Source organism: Homo sapiens, chromosome 3, assembly GCF_000001405.40.
Source record: "Homo sapiens chromosome 3, GRCh38.p14 Primary Assembly".
Classification (NCBI taxonomy): domain Eukaryota; kingdom Metazoa; phylum Chordata; class Mammalia; order Primates; family Hominidae; genus Homo; species Homo sapiens.
In genome coordinates this window covers 14,958,091-14,975,105 of record NC_000003.12, presented here as the reverse complement: position 1 = coordinate 14,975,105, position 17,015 = coordinate 14,958,091, and the positions used below count along the sequence as shown (strand labels likewise).

The 17,015-nt window shown below is 39.1% G+C and overlaps 1 protein-coding gene across 23 annotated transcripts in view, besides 1 other annotated feature; it reads right to left on the bottom strand.

Moving 5' to 3' along the window:
• NR2C2 (nuclear receptor subfamily 2 group C member 2) overlaps positions 1 to 17,015 on the bottom strand; it is a 101,691-nt gene that overhangs the window by 74,168 nt on the left and 10,508 nt on the right. For 7 of the 23 annotated variants that reach the window (XM_047448829.1, XM_011534058.4, XM_047448836.1 and 4 more), the window contains exons 2-4: positions 15,910 to 15,949; positions 15,465 to 15,570; positions 12,614 to 12,697 (exon numbers count right to left, since the gene is read on the bottom strand). The exons of 6 other annotated variants lie outside the window; for them this stretch is intronic. In XM_047448829.1, coding sequence (XP_047304785.1) covers positions 12,614 to 12,673 — 60 coding nt within the window. In that variant the 5' untranslated portion in view covers positions 12,674 to 12,697; positions 15,465 to 15,570; positions 15,910 to 15,949. Of the gene's footprint in view, positions 1 to 12,613; positions 12,698 to 15,367; positions 15,950 to 17,015 lie in introns of all 23 variants that reach the window. 10 more of the 23 variants (XM_011534061.4, XM_047448837.1, XM_047448832.1 and 7 more) reach the window with 6 other exon arrangements.
• Positions 15,576 to 15,715: an enhancer, noted in NCBI's record as "active region_19523". NCBI's record gives its function as "activates an Ori minimal core promoter by ATAC-STARR-seq in GM12878 lymphoblastoid cells {active_cell/tissue: GM12878}" and the evidence as "EXISTENCE:reporter gene assay evidence [ECO:0000049][PMID:35858748]".

Genomic DNA, 17,015 nt, shown 5'->3' with positions numbered 1-17,015 from the left:
AATTCAGCAAAACTGCATGTTATTAGAAATAAGAATCAGTAACGTTTCTATACACTAACAATGCACATCCCATAAGGGAAATTAAGAAAACAATTCCACTTACAATACCATAAAAAAGAATAAAATGTTCAGGATTAAATTTAACCAAGGAAGCAAAATTCTTAAAACATTTAAGTATACACTTAAAACGTAAGTATACACTGGTTGGACGCAGAGGCTCACACCTGTAATCCCAGCACTTTGGGAGGCCAAGGTGGGCAGATCACTTGAGGTCAGGAGTTTAAGACCAGCCTGGCCAACATGGTGAAACCCTGTCTCTAGTAAAAATACAAAAATTAGCCGGGCATGGTGGCACATACCTGTAATCCCAGCTACTTGGGAGGCTGAGGCAGGAGAATTACTTGAACCTGTGAAGTGGAGGTTGCAGTGAGCCTAAATTGTACCACTGCACTCCAGCCTGGGTGAAACAGTGAGACCATCTCAAAAAAAAAAAAAACCAACAAAAAAACCATAAGTATACACCGAAAACTATAAAACACCATGGAAAGAAATTAAAGACAACATAAATAAGTGGAAAAACATCCTGTGTTCATGGATTGAAAGACTTAATACTGTTATGAAGTCAACACTATCCAAAGCCATCTACAAACTCAATGTAATCCCTGTCAAAACCCCAATGATGTATTTTACAGAAATAGAAAAATCCATTAACCTTCATATGGAATCTCAAGGGACCCTGAACAACCAGAACAACCTTGAAAAAGAACAAAGTTAGATATCTCGTACTTCCCAATTTCAAAACTTACTACAAAGCTACAGTAATCCAAACAATGTGGTACTGGCATAAAGAGAGACATACAAACAAATAGCCTGAACCGGGAGGATATTATGCTAAGTGAAATAAACCAGTCACAAAAAGACAGGTTCTGTATAATTCTTACAGTAGTTATCAATAGTCAAATTCATAGAAAGTAGAAGAGCAGTTGTGAGGGTGGGGGAAGGGGGCATTGGGGAGTTGCTGTTTAATAAGTATAGAGTTTCAGTTTTAGCAAGATGAAAAAACTGTGAAGATCTGTTGTACAACAGTATGAATATACTTAAACTACTGAACTGTATACAGAGACGGTCTCTGACTTGATGATCTGACTTGTAATTTTTTGACTTTATGATTGGTTTACTGGGTTATAAAATGCATTTCAGACTTGTGATGTTTTCAACTTGTGATGGGCTTACCTGGATGCAGCTCCACTGTAAACCAAGGAACATCCGTACTTAAAAACGGTTAAGAGAGTAAATTTTATGTTATGTGGTTTTACCAATATTAGAGGAAAAAAAAAGGAGAGAGAGCCAGAAATAAATCTGTGAATATATGTCAAATGATTGTTGACAAGCATGCCAAGACCATTCAATGAAGAAAGGACAGTCTTTTTAACAAATGGTTCTGGGACAACTAGATATTCACATGCAAAAGAAAGAAGTCAGACTCCTTATACAATACCGTATAACTGGATCATAGACCTAAACTCTAAAATTTAGTACTAAATGTAGAGCTAAAACTCTAAAATTATAAGGAGACATGCACGGTGGCTCATGCTTGTAATCCTGGCACTTTGGGAGGCCAAGGTGGGAAAACTGCTTGAGCCCAGGAGTTCAAGACCAGCCTGGGCGGCATAGCAAGACCCTGTCTTTAAAAAAAATTTTTTTTTTTAAATTAGCCTGGCATGGTAGTGTACACCTGTAGTCCCAGCAGTACTCAGGAGGCTGAGGCATGAGAACTGCTTGAGCCCAGGAAGTCTATGCTGGATTAAGCTATGTTTGTGCCAATGCATTCCAGCCTGAGTGACAGAGCAAGACCCTGCCAAAAAAAAATCATAGAGGAAAATCTTCATGACATTGGACTTGGCGATAATTTCTTGATTATGACACTAAAAGTACAAGCAACAAAAGAAAGAACATAAATTAAACTTCATCAAAATTAAAACTTTTTTTACATCAAAGGACACTATGAAGAGAATGGAAAGGCAGCCCACAGAATGGAACAAAGTACTTGCAAATCATATATCTGTGATATGGTTTGGATCTGTTCCCCCAACCAATCTCATGTCAAACTGTAATCCCCAGTGCTGGAGGTGCGGCCTGATGGGAGGTGATCGGATCATGGGGATGGAGTGCTCATGAATGGTTTAAGACCGTCCTCTTGGTGCTGTTCTCATGATAGTGAGTGAGTTACCATGAGATCTGGTTGTTTAAAAGTGTGTAGCACCTCCCCCCACTCTCTTGGTCCTGCCCCTGCCATGTAAGACACCTGCTCCTGCTTTGTCTGCCACCATGAGTAAAGCTCTCTGAGGCCTCCCCAGAAGCAGATGCTGCCGTGCTCTCTGTACAGCCTGTGGAACCGTGAGCCAATTAAACCTCTCTTCATTATAAATTACCCAGCCTCAGGTATTCCTTTATAGCAATGCAAGAATGGACTACTACAATCTAATAAGGGCTTAATATCCAGAATATATAAAGAATTCCTACAGCTCAATGACAAAAAACCTCAAACTACCCAATTAAAAAGTGGGAAAGTACTTGAATAGACATTCTCCAAAAATATATGAATGGCCAACTAGCATATGAAAAGCTGCTCAGCCTGGTGTACTGGCTCATGCCTGTAATCCAGCACTTTCGGAGCCCCAGCCAGGTGGATCACTTGAGGTTAGGAGTTTGAGACCAACCTGGCCATCATGGTGAAACTCTGTCTCTACTAAAAATACAAAAATTAGCCAGGTGTGGTGGTGTGCGCCTGTAATCCCAGCTATTCAGGTGGCTGAGACATGGGAATCTCTGGAACCCAGGAGGCGGAGGTTACAGTGAGCCGAAATGATGCCACTGCACTCCAGCCTGGGTGACAGAATGAGACACTGTCTCAGAAAAAAAAAAAAAAAAGAAAGAAAAAGAAAAAAAAAAGAGAGAGAATGAGAACTTTTTTTTCTTAATTAAAAGAAATTTATGGCTGGGCACGGTGGCTCATGCCTGTAATCCCAAGCACTTTGGGAGGCCAAAGCAGGTGGATCACCTGAGGTCAGGAGTTCGAGACCAGCCTGACCAACACGGAGATACCCCGTCTCTACTAAAACTACAAAAATCACCTGGGCGTGGTGGCGCATGCCTGTAATCCCAGCTACTCGGGAGGCTGAGGCAGGAGAATCGCTTGAACCTGGGAGGCGGAGGTTGCAGTGAGCCGAGATCATGCCATTGCACTCCAGCCTGGGCAACAAGAGTGAAACTCTGTCTCAAAAAAAAAAAAAAAGAAAAAAGAAATTTAGGTAAATTAATTTTTTAATGTGAACAACAACAAAAAAAGAAAAGCTGTTCAACATCACTAATCATTAGGGAAGTGCAAGTCAAAACCACAATCAAATATCACTTTACATCCATTAGGGTAGCTTTTATCAAAAAACAAAACAACAAATAACGTGTTGTTGAGGATGTGGAGAAACTAGAACCCTTGTGCACTGCTGGTAAGAATGTAACATGGTTGCAGCCGCTGTGGAAAACAATATAGCAGTTTCTCAAAAATCAAATGTAGAAACCTAAGATCCAGCAATTCCACTTCTGGGTATACAGATGCTCTTTATGATGAGGTTATGTCCTGATAAACCATTGTAAGTTGAAAATGTCATTAAGTCAAAAATGCATGTAAGACTAGGCACGGTGGCTTATGCCTGTAATCCCAGCACTTTGGGAGGCCAAGGCAGGTGGATCACCTGGGGTCAGGAGTTTGAGACCAGCTTGGCCAACATGGTGAAACCCCATCTCTACTAAAAATACAAAAATTAGCAGGGCATGATGGTGGGTGCCTGTAATCCCACCTACTCAGGAGGCTGAGGCAGGAGAACTGCTTGAACCCAGGAGGCAAAGGTTGCAGTGAGCCAAGATTGCGCCACTGCACTCCAGCCTGGGCGCAGAGCAAGACTCTGCCTCAAAAAAATAAAAAATAAAAAAATGCATTTAATACACTTAGCCTATCAAACAGCATGGCTTAGCCGAATCTATCTTACATGCTCAGAACACTCACACTAGCATACAGCTGAACAAAATTATCTTACACAAAGCTTATAATAAATTGTTGAATTTCTCATGTAATTTATTAAATACTGTACTGAAAAACAGAATGGTTATATAGGTACTTGAAGTATGGCTTCTACCAAATGCATATGGCTTTTGCACCATTGCAAAGTTAAAAAATTGTAAGTTGAACCATCATAAGTTGAGTACCAACTGTATACCCAAAATAACTGAAAGCAGGGACTCAAGATACTTGTATACCTACGTTCACAGCAGCATTCCTCAAAGCCAAGAGGTTGAAGCAACCCAAATGCCCACTGACAGATGAACAGATAAAATGTGATACATAAGTAGAATATTAGTCTTAAAAAGGAAGGAAACTGACATATACTATAACATATGACACATGCTACAACATGGATTAACCTTGAGGACATTATACTAAGTGAAATAAGCCCAGTAACGAATGACAATTACATGATTCTATTTACATAAGGTACCTAGAGAAGTCAAATTCAGAGACATGGAAAGAATGGTGGTTGCCAAAGGCTAGGGGAATGAGGGGAATGGTAGCTGGTGCTACATGGATACCGAGTTTCAGTCTGGAAAGAAGAAAAAGTTCTAGAGATGGATGGTGGTGATGGTTACAGAACAATGTGACCAGTACTTAATGCCAAAGAACTCCACACTTTAAAACAGTTAAAATGGTAAATTTTATATTTTACCGCAATTAAAAACAAAACAAAACAAAAAAAGAATTCATTACCACCCCCCCACCCCCCACCCCCGGCCCCCAAAAAAGACAGTATCTAAGCCCGATAAATCAAGAATTAGAAATAGTGGGGTAAGGACATTTTTTAAAGCATGAAGTTAAATACCAGAAGAAATCAAATTTAGAGGAGGCTTGGTGATAAAGGGTAAGAGTGGTTCAGAAACCTGCTGTTTTCTGCTTTAAGCCTAATATTGTATTGGTCAACTTTTAAATGTATGTATATGTACTACTTTGACAAGAAAATGAAAATTTAAACATCCAGTTAGAGGGCAGGATTAATCAAATTCAGTCCTAGTGAGTTAGGCATTCCAGCACACTGAAAACCCAACTTTGCTTTTCCCTCCTTGAGGACACGGCCTTGCCAATACTGCATTTTGTTCAACAACTGGGAGAGCTCTATGTTTTTAAACATTCCCTTACATGGAAATGTTAGTGTAAGTTTTCTGCAATAATGATGTAAATCCTGTTGATAAAAAGAATAAAGAGGTCATAAGAATTTGGCTATTTTCTCAGCCATGGCAGGCCTTATTTGATGGCTGAGAGCCCCTTACATAGCCCAGGGATCAAGGAAAAGGGTTGTAAAGCCACTTCATTTCTATTGCATAAACATACATGCAACTTATAGTTTAGGTGTATGAGTGATTTCTTTCTGCCAATCAGTAAGCACTCAAAATACTTCAGCAAGTTAACTCCTAAATTTCTCCTGACTCAAAATATGGAGTTTAAAAAGTATCTTTATTGGCCGGGCATGGTGGCTCACGCCTGTAATCCCAGCACTTTGGGAGGCCAAGGTGGGTGAATCACAAGGTCAGGAGTTCGAGACCAGCCTGGCCAACACAGTGAAACCCCATCTCTGCTAAAAGTACAAAAATTAGCTGGGTGTGGTGGCACGTGCCTGTAGTCCCAGCTACTCGGGAGGCTAAGGCGGGAAAATTGCTTGAACGGAAGTGGTTGTTGCAGTGAGCCGAGACCACACCACTGCACTCCAGCCTGGGTGACACAGTGAGACTCTGTTTCAAAAAAAAAAAAAAAAAAAGAATCTTTATTTAGGCAATGAAGAAATACATAGTATATGTATCTATATGTCTGCTTTAAATTTCCAGTTATAGAGGGAAATTTTTTTTTCTTTTTTTAATTTATTATTACTATACTTTAAGTTTTAGGGTACATGTGCACAATGTGCAGGTTAGTTACATATGTATACATGTGCCATGCTGGTGCGCTGCACCCACTAACTCGTCATCTAGCATTAGGTATATCTCCCAATGCTATCCCTCCCCCCTCCCCCCACCCCACAACAGTCCCCAGAGTGTGATGTTCCCCCTTCCTGTGTCCATGTGTTCTTGTTGTTCAATTCCCACCTATGAGTGAGAATATGCGGTGTTTGGTTTTTTGTTCTTGCGATAGTTTACTGAGAATGATGATTTCCAATTTCATCCATGTCCCTACAAAGGACATGAACTCATCATTTTTTATGGCTGCATAGTATTCCATGGTGTATATGTGCCACATTTTCTTAATCCAGTCTATCATTGTTGGACATTTGGGTTGGGTCCAAGTCTTTGCTATTGTGAATAATGCCGCAATAAACATACGTGTGCATGTGTCTTTATAGCAGCATGATTTATAGTCCTTTGGGTATATACCCAGTAATGGGATGGCTGGGTCAAATGGTATTTCTAGTTCTAGATCCCTGAGGAATCGCCACACTGTCTTCCACAATGGTTGAACTAGTTTACAGTCCCACCAACAGTGTAAAAGGGTTCCTATTTCTCCACATCCTCTCCAGCACCTGTTGTTTCCTGACTTTTTAATGATTGCCATTCTAACTGGTGTGAGATGGTATCTCATTGTGGTTTTGATTTGCATTTCTCTGATGACCAGTGATGGTGAGCATTTTTTCATGTGTTTTTTGGCTGCATAAATGTCTTCTTTTGAGAAGTGTCTGTTCATGTCCTTTGCCCACTTTTTGATGGGGTTGTTTTTTTCTTGTAAATTTCTTTGAGTTCATTGTAGATTCTGGATATTAGCCCTTTGTCAGATGAGCAGGTTGCGAAAATTTTCTCCCATTTTGTAGGTTGCCTGTTCACTCTGATGGTAGTTTCTTTCGCTGTGCAGAAGCTCTTTAGCTTAATTAGATCCCATTTCTCAATTTTGGCTTTGGTTGCCATTGCTTTTGGAGTTTTAGACATGAAGTCCTTGCCCATGCCTATGTCCTGAATGGTAATGCCTAGGTTTTATTCTAGGGTTTTTATGGTTTTAGGTCTAACATTTAAGTCTTTAATCCATCTTGAATTGATTTTTGTATAAGGTGTAAGGAAGGGATCCAGTTTCAGCTTTCTACATATGGCTAGCCAGTTTTCCCAGCACCATTTATTAAATAGGGAATCCTTTCCCCATTGCTTGTTTTTCTCAGGTTTGTCAAAGATAAGATAGTTGTAGATATGCGGCATTATTTCTGAGGGCTCTGTTCTGTTGCATTGATCTATATCTCTGTTTTGGTACCAATACCATGCTGTTTTGGTTACTGTAGCCTTGTAGTATAGTTTGGGAAATCTTAAATGCTTAAAAAATACTGAAGCCCCTTTAGAAAATTTCATTCCTTTAATATATGAAAAGCAAAATTAATTCCAGTGTTAGACATGATTCAAGCTCTCACTGCTTTGGTTACCAATTATCATCTGCCACCTTATCTCTCCCATTCTCAGCTATTCCTTTTTTTAAAAAAAAATGAACCACATTGTTTTTTAAAATCAAATTTCACAGTCATTTCATTGTTAATGGACATTTGGCTGACATTCCCACCAGCAACGTATGAGGTTTCCAATTTTTCCACTTCCTTTCCAGTGTTTACTATCTGATTTTTATATTCTAGCCATTCTAGTGGATGTGAAATAGTATCTCACTGTGCTTTTTAACAAAAATTAAAGAAACAGAAAATAGAAAAACAATAGAGAAAATCCATTAAACCAAAAAGCTGGTTTGTTGAAAAAAAATCAAGTTGACAAACCTTCAGCTAGATTGACCAAGAAGAAGAGGGCAGACTCAAATTACTAGAATCACAAATGAAAGAGGATAAATTACCACTGACCTTACAGAAATAAAAAGGATTATAAAGGAATGCTATGAAGAACTGTACACCAACAAATTAGATAACTTAGATGAAATGAACAAAGTCCCAAAAAGACAAATTACTGAAACTGACTCAAGAAGAAATGGACAATATGAACAGACCTGTAACAAGTAAAGACTGAATTAGTAATCCAAAAATTACCTGAAAAGAAAAGGCCAGGCCCAGATGGCTTCTCCGCTAATTCTACAAGATTTTTAAAGAAAAGTTAATATCAATTCTTTATAAACAATTTCAAAAAACAGAGAGGTCACACAGCTTTCAAGTGGCAGGGCCAGGATTTAAATCTAGGCAATCTGGCTCCAGAGTCTACACTGTTGACCACTATATTCAACTGTCTCTCTGAATTACTAAATTTGAGCACATTATAGGACATCAAGTTATTTCATATCACCCAACTTTTGTAGTTTACCTTGGTATTTGCCACTTAGATGGTCTATGGAGAAAAAAGCTGAATGGGTACTCTAGAGAACATCATTTACATAATCCACAATGTTGCTGTATTTCATGAAGCAAAAATGCATGGCACTTACTAAAGCTCATTTCTAAAAAGACTTATTTTAGAGACAGGTTCTCACTCTGTCATCCAGGCTGGAGTGCAGTGAGGGACATCATAGCTCACTGTAGTCTTGAACTCCTGGGATCAAGTGATCCTCCAACCTCAGCCTCCAGAGTAGCTGAGACCACAGGAAGGCGCCACCACGTCCAGCTAAATTTTTTGATTGTTTATAATAGAGACGAGGATTTAAACCCCAATCTGTCTGATCTCACGGCTCACAATCTCACTCGATAGAGTCTCTTTCTACCAAGATCCTATCTTTCCTATTCAACTAGTGTAGCCTATCTCGGGCTTATCCCGTTAGAGAGCTCTGGGAGAGCAAAAGCCCTGTCCTATTATCCACCAGCATATCCTCCCTGGCCTATGGGAAGGAAACTGGTATGCTCCTTCATTATCTGCTGATTGAGTAAACAATTATCCAAAACTGACTATTAATTATCTCTCAATTTGGATACTTTATTCCCACTCCATTACTACTTAGCATTAAAATGATAAAGTGTAGGCCCTCTTACTCATTTAGCTAATCAAATATTATATATAGTTATTATATGCAGTTTAAAATTACTAAGCTCAAAAATTCAAAGGACACAAATACATACTTATTCCTCAAAATAACACTAAGGGGCCAGGCATGGTGGCTCACGCCTGTAATCCCAGCACTTTGGGAGGCTGAGGCAGGCAGATTACCTGAGGTCAGGAGTTCAAGACCAGCCTGCCTGGCCAACAAGGCGAAACCCTGTCTCTACGACAAATACAAAAAATTAGCCAGGCATAGTGCCCCACGCCTGTAATCCCAGCTACTCAGGAGGCTGAGGCAGGAGAATAGCTTGAACCCAGGAGGCGGAGGTTGCAGTGAGCTGAGATCACGCCATTGCACTCCACAGCTTGGGCAACAAGAGCGAAACTCTGTCTCAAAAAAAAACAAAAACAAAAACAAACAAACAAAAAAAACAGCAAGGAAATCTAGGAAATATTTTAAACAGGAGGATTGCTTTTGCACTCAAAATTGAGACTGACTTTCATTATTTTGAGTCTCTAAAAATGCTTTTTTTTTTTTTTTTTTTTTTTTGCCATGGGAAACAACAGTTGTACTAAGTTAATACATGAAATTCTACTGCCTGAAGGAAATAAGGTATTTGGCAGAAAATTTTAGCTAGCAAACTTCTTGAATGCATACAAAGAACTTACATTAGCCTATATTAACCTCTTTCCTAAAGAATTAATGATGTTGCCTGACGACTTGTGATATAGAAAGAAAAAGAAAGAATGATGGCCTCTTAGGGCAGCAATCCACATAGCAGTTTCCAAATCAGCCTCAGGTGGAAACACAGATATTTGAAAAATTAACAATTATTTTCAAGGTAATTATTCCTATCACAAAATAAAGCAACAAATAAATATGGGAGTCCTCAAATAATGTTGTTTTGTTATAATGTTGATGAGAAAAAAAGTGATTCCAGGCCGGGGCCACTGTCTGTGGGGAGTTTGTATGTTCTCCCCATGTCTGCATGGGTTCTCTGCAGGTATTCCGGCTTCCCCCACCACATGCCAACGATGTGCATGCGAGGTGACTTGGTGTGTCTAAATTATCCCAGTCTGAGTGAGTGTGGGTATGTATGTGAGTACACCCTGTGACAGGATGGTGTCCTGGCCAGGAGTGTTTCTGCCTTGTGCCCTGAGCTGCCAGGACAGGATCCAGCCACCTATCACCCTGAACTGGAATAAGTGGGTTGGGAAATGAATACAAATTATTGTAAAATAAAAATTCATGGCCGGGCACGGTGGCTCACGCCTGTAATCCCAGCACTTTGGGAGGCCAAGGCAGGCGGATCATGAGGTCAGGAGATCAAGACTATCCTGGCTAACACGGTGAAACCCGTCTCTACTAAAAATACAAAAAAAAAAAAAAATTAGCCGGGTGTGGTGGCGGGCGCCTGTAGTCCCAGCTATTCGGGAGGCTGAAGCAGGAGAATGGCGTGAACCTGGGAAGCAGAGCTTGCAGTGAGCCGAGATCGCACCACTGCACAATAGCCTCGGCACAGAGCGAGACTCCATCTCAAAAAAATAAAAAATAAAAAATATAAAATAGAAAATAAAAAAAATAAAGTCCACAGTAATCATACCAAATGCATGACAATAAACTACGCAGTAAGAAAGCACTCAGTGGGCCTGTCATACTTGTGATTGACTGCATAGTGGTAGGAGGTACTCCTGACAATTTTTGCTTTGCAATTATTCCTTAATATAATTCACCACCATGACTGCCATCACTCACTGATTCACCAAATATTGGGTAAATAATTTTGTTTATATTAGTCTTTAATCTTAAAAGTATGTATAGCTCACATTTATTTCAATATTTAATATTAGAGGTGTTCTGTATCTTTATTTAGAAATTTGATTTTTTATTTTTTGACCAGAAATATGCCATAGGAACTTAACTCTTGATTAGCCTAGGGTAAAACTGGTTTTGTTATATGTGGTTTCACCTAAAGCTGGTTTCCAAGAACCCACTGATAACGTTAAATGAGGACTTGTTTTACAAGCATTTTAATCCCAATACTTCTGTAACTCTGATAGCCCATTCAAAAATATAATAATAAAATATTTGTCAAATCTATCTTCTTTCATTTTCAGTTAATATTAACCATTATTTGCTGGGTGGGGAGGGGGGTAGGTAACTAGTTACATTGTTGCATTTCAGTTAATGGTTGATCTAAAAATCTGAAAAATCTGCTCACCATTTTTATCGGTTTAAACTGGCATATGTATACTTAGTTTTTGTTTAAAAAAATCCTCTCTTTGAACGTAAATTTGTGTCTTTGCCCTAGATATATGAGCATTATTAAAAAATGCGACTTTGGGAGGCAGAGGCAGGCGGATCACGAGGTCAGGAGATGGAGACCATCCTGGCTAACACAGTGAAACCCCATCTCTACTAAAAATACAAAAAATTAGCCGGGCGTGGTGTGGCGGGTGCCTGTAGTCCCAGCTACTCGGGAGGCTGAGGCAGGAGAATGGTGTGAACCCAGGAAGCGGAGCTTGCAGTGGGCCGAGATCGCGCCACTGCACTTCAGCCTGGGAGACAGCAAGACTCCGTCTCAAAAAATAAAAAATAAAAAATAAAAAATGCGAATCTCAACCTTTTGGCTCCTGGTTGCAGTAGGACCCATGGTTAATTGGAAGAGCTTTGGAGGTGAACGGACCTGCGTCAGCATCTTGTCCTGCTATACAGTGCCTTTGGCTAATTACTTATTTTTTGAGACTTGGTTTCCTTACCTACTAAATGGGAATACTGACAGTACCAACCTCAGAAAGTTATTGTGAGGATTAAAGCCCTTGCATAGGGCATGGTACAGAATGAATGCCCAAAGTATGCAATTAGTGTTTTAGCTTTACCATGCATTTCATGTCAAGTTGCCTGCACATACCAAGCTACTTAATGCCTACGTCCTTTTACATAGGTTTCTGACTTAGGATGCTCTCCCCAGAATCTACCACAAAGTTCCCCACCCCACTTACTTGGGTCTGACAAATGCTTACTCATAATGGAAGATCCACCTCCAGGATCAAATCCCTCACATGGAATTATACTTCTCAACCTATTTTATAATAACTCCTTAACCAGGCCTTGAGATCACTAAAGGAACAACCCATGACTCATTCACCCCCATATAACTCAGCACTTAGTACAATCCCTGGTCCATGGCAAATGGTCAATGACTGCTGAATGGACATAATCACGTCTTCTACTATTCCATAATATTAACGAAGAATCAAGCGTACGAGAAACTAAGAGATTTGGAGTTTAAACTATACCCACAAGGTTCAATAATAATCAGATTCTACTAGTTTTCGGTTTAAAGTAAAAGTTCAAGTCACCTTATTAAAAGCAGATAGGCCACCCTACTCATGCAAAAAAAAAAAAAAAAAAAAGTTACAAATAAATGTTCTTGTCATTTTTTTCTCCCATGACAGCACCCTAGGACGTATCACATGCTGACCTCCAAGGGACTGTTTTGAAAAAAATGAGCACACTGATTTTTCTTTTCTTTCGAAAGTGAGGGTGCCAGCTACTGTGCTAGCCCCTGTCACTCACCTCAGCCACCTGCTGGGTCCCCACTCTGTGCTGAACCAGCCCCTCCATATTTGTAGCCATGGTGAACCAAGATCATTAGAGAACCTGTTTGGAAAGATGTAGCAACCTCTATCAGGTGGGGAGAAACCAGACTACTTGAAAAATATTAGTAATCAAAATTCATCTTTGGTACTGTCTTGTGTGGATTTTGCCCTCTATAGCAGACAGACCTAGCAAGCTAGACCTATCTGTATATGCTGCACCGCCTCCTTCAGTTACAGGTACCAAAATTAATTTGTAGAAACATTTCAATTTAGAAACTTCCACTGACAAATATAGACAAAGATGAATTTGGAAATTTAATTATCAGGTCTCCAGGGTTGTAACAGCTTGGTTTACCTCTCAGGGAGGTGGGAATCACACCTTTTTGGATAGTTCCCTGTCACAGTATGCTGAATAAGAAGGTGGGTATCTGAGAAAGGTGTGAGATCAACTCTGGATAGAGCCCTAGATGGCTATCATTAACCATACTTCTTTTGCTAGTGGCAAAGTGAGAAGCAAAACCCTGCTTGGTGCTAACATACCTCACTCACAGGTTGAAAGGCAAATACTATCACTAACAAAGCAAGAAGCGAAGAGACTGCATTACTAAAGAGTGCTAACAAGAATATGGTACCCATACACATATTAATTTATATTAAGTCCTCATTAAATTACAAAACCAGATAATTCGGCTTTCTACTAGTAGCAAAAATAGATTTGATGTCATTATTCGTAAAAATTGAGAAAGATCACCTAAAGAGTGATCACCTAAAGATCAAAGAGTGTGCTAGTTTCCTGGGTCAAGACATTTGAGTACCAGCATTGCTGAAGGAGCAGACTTCCAGTCTCTTCTGGTCATGAGAAAGCTCTCCTGAATATTTCCTAAGCCCTTTCAAAGGCTCTACCACAAAGAATTCAGTATAATCTAGACCCAATTTCTGGACATTCACTATTGACTGTATAGGTCCCAAGGTCCACAGGAGAACAAAGCTCAAATCTATTACCAAGATTTACATATAAAAACTATACAGTATTATTGAGTGTGCAATATAGAAAATTACAGTTCATTTGCCTGCCCTCCCTCAATCACAAAGTGGATTATCTTGCAATACAATTTTACAAAATATTTTTCTGTAGTTCCTATCTAAGGTATTATAATCACTGATCTCTATGAAGCTTTTTAACTCTCTGGTAACTTTCTACATCATTCTATTTATTATTAGATAGCCACCTCTATTATGATAATTCTAATTCATATTTTATTGCCAGAATGCTAAGAGAAAGAAACAGGAGGATGAAACTGTGACTGACAAATATGAAAGACCTGGCTCCTGTCTTCAAGGAGTCAAAATTCTGTGACAGCAGATACTGCACCAACTTCTACAATGACATGAGACCACCAGTATCAGTTACTCATTTTCACAAAATATGATTAGGTCTGAAACTGAGGAGATAAGTTTATTGTTTTAATAGATGGTAAAAACTTAACTTTTACTTGTTTCTACAAGAAAAAAACACAAAGATACCTTTTGGTCTTTTTTTCTTGCTATAGTTTGGTTACAACTAATGGAGATGGAAGGAAAAGGCGTCTTTAAGTCTACCAGAAAAGTCAACTGACTTGTTAAAAATACAAGTATTGCATGTAAAAGTCTAGAGTCTGATTCTTCCTCAAAACAGAAAATAAGAATTTTTAAAGAAATGGATAGCCAATAGGTACTGTACATTAAAAAATAAATCTAAACATGTGGCTGCAACTAATAATTTTTATCACTTTTAGATGTCAACAGAATTTCTCCTCTGTTATTAACTATAGTTCAATGTAAGAAATATGTGAATTTGAATTATTACAGGAATATTGTTAGGAAAATATTATTGAATAGTATAGAAACAGAGTACTAGAAAGGTGTATCTTTCTATTGGGTTCCCTAAAAGAGGTGGCTTGATACATCAAATTATGAGTAAAAGTGGATTTTATAGATGACAATCTGATTTAATAGAGGCCTAGTACAGAATTATTTCTGTAATAATTCACTTTAAATTTGCAGGATCAATCAACTTCAGGTAGGGCTGGGGATCCCAAGATAAATCTAACAACAGGTGACTACAGATATGAAGTCACAGAGAAGCAGCAGTAAATCTGTTTAAGTTTAGAAAAGCTAAGTATTCTGGACATTAATTTTTTGTTGATAAGTTATAAATATCTTCACCCACTCTGTGGTTCATCTGTTTACTTTCTTTAAGGTGTCTTTTGATGAACAGAAGTCCTTAAATTTAATAAGGCTAAATTTATCCCTATTTTCTTTTACAGTTTGTACTTTCATTTATGAAAATCCTGTCCTATCCCAGGAATGTAACTGTAAATATTTTCTTAGAAATGTTCCAGTTTTCCCCTCATATGTAACTCCTCAATCCATCTGCAAATTGATTCTTGAATCTGATGAGAAGTAAGGATCCAACTAATTTTTTTCCCATGTAGATAATCCATTTACCATTTTCTATTCAAGAAATAGTTCTGGAAAATGGATTATCTATATGGGGAAAATCTATCCTTTTCCCCACTGATCTGAAATGCCATCTCTGCCATATCTGTTTTTCCTATATATGTGGATATAACTGTAGGTTCTCTATTCTATTCCACTAAGTTCTCTGTGTCTTTCTCTTGGTCACCACCACTATCTTTTTACTGCAGTGTTAGCGTAAGTCTTGCTCTCTGATAGGACAAGTGCCCCCCACCTTGTTCTCCCACACCAACTTCCTGGATCATCTTAAACGCCTCTCTTTATACACTTGAATTGAGCAGCAACCTTTCTTTATACACTTGAATTCTTACAATTCTTGATCTCACTGTTGGTTTTCTGCCTTCAAAGCAGCATCAGGCATCATCAACAGCAGCTTTGGAAGCTGCTTAAAAATGAACAAGGAGGAATGTGCACCTTCTGGAAAAACAAGCAGAGACAAAAAAATGAGACTAAGAGTGAGAGAGAAATTGAAAGAGAAACTATGTTAAAGCAAGTGCTTTCAATAAAGACTTAAATCCAGTCAGAGGAGGAGAGAAGTAGTTTCAAAAAATATTTTCTATTACTTTTGAAAATAAGTCACAAACCATATAGCCTATTCTCATATAAAAAAGGAAGACAAAGGCTTTTTCTTCCAGGATATCACAATGTAAGAAGTAAAACAGAATCTTCAAGTAATGTAAGGAAGTGGGGCAGCGTGGACATTTAACCAAAATGCACCCAGACAAAAAAGGTAACATCAGGGTATAAGACTCTCACCTGAGAGCTTCTCTCACTGCTACCGCAGCCATAGGCGGTCCTAGAGACAGAAAGATCACACAGTGAGAAGGTCATACATCTTTGAAAAAGTACCACCAGAAAATGGTTATCAATTAGGAGATGTCCCACTAGAATAAGAGGCTCCAAGGAACAGTGGGTTGTGTCTAGATGTAGTTTGAAAAACTATCTTCACTAGCACAATTTTATATATATATATTTTTTGAGACGGAGTCTTGCTCTGTCGCCAGGCTGGAGTGCAGTGGCACGATCTCGGCTCACTGCAACCTCCGACTCCCTGGTTCAAGCGATTCTCCTGCCTCAGCCTCCCCAGTAGCTGGGATTACAGGCATGCGCCACCATGCCCAGCTAATTTTTGTATTTTTAGTAGAGACGGGGTTTCACCATGTTGGCCAGGATGGTCTGGATCTCCTGACCTCGAGATCTGCCTGCCTCAGCCTTCCAAAGTGCTGGGATTACAGGCATTAGCCGCAGCACCCAACCAATCTGGAACAACAACAACAAAAAAATCCTATTGTTTTGATACTACAAAGTATAGAAAAGAAATAAAGCTTTTAAAAACAACCTTCTTGGCTGGTGGAGCCAAGCATAACACTAATAGCAGCAACTAACACTAAGTGGTTACTATACACAAGGCATTATATTAACAACCACTGTGGACAGAACACTAAACTCGCTCTTGGTACAGAAACCTGAGTCCTAAAGGCTAGTACTTCACCCATTCAGCTTGTTAACCTTCAAAGATTGCCCCCCACCCCCACAATAATGTTTAGGGGAAAGAACCTGATTAGCTGCCAAAAGAAGTATAATACTGAGTACCTTAAGTTAAAAAAAAAAAGTGCTACAGAAGATCTTCCTCTGGTGATTTTACTAATCAAGTCCAACCACCTCCATCAGTTCTTATTAAGTAACTGCTATGAACTAGGCAATGAACTGACTGCTGAGAATTAACAACAACAAGGAGGAGAAAGAGGAGAATAAACAGTCCTTGTCCTTGATGAACTTATGAAGGAAACTGAAGTATCTATGCAAAGCAAATGCTATGAGTGTCCCAGGGGAAGACACATTGCTCTCTGCCTGTGAGAACC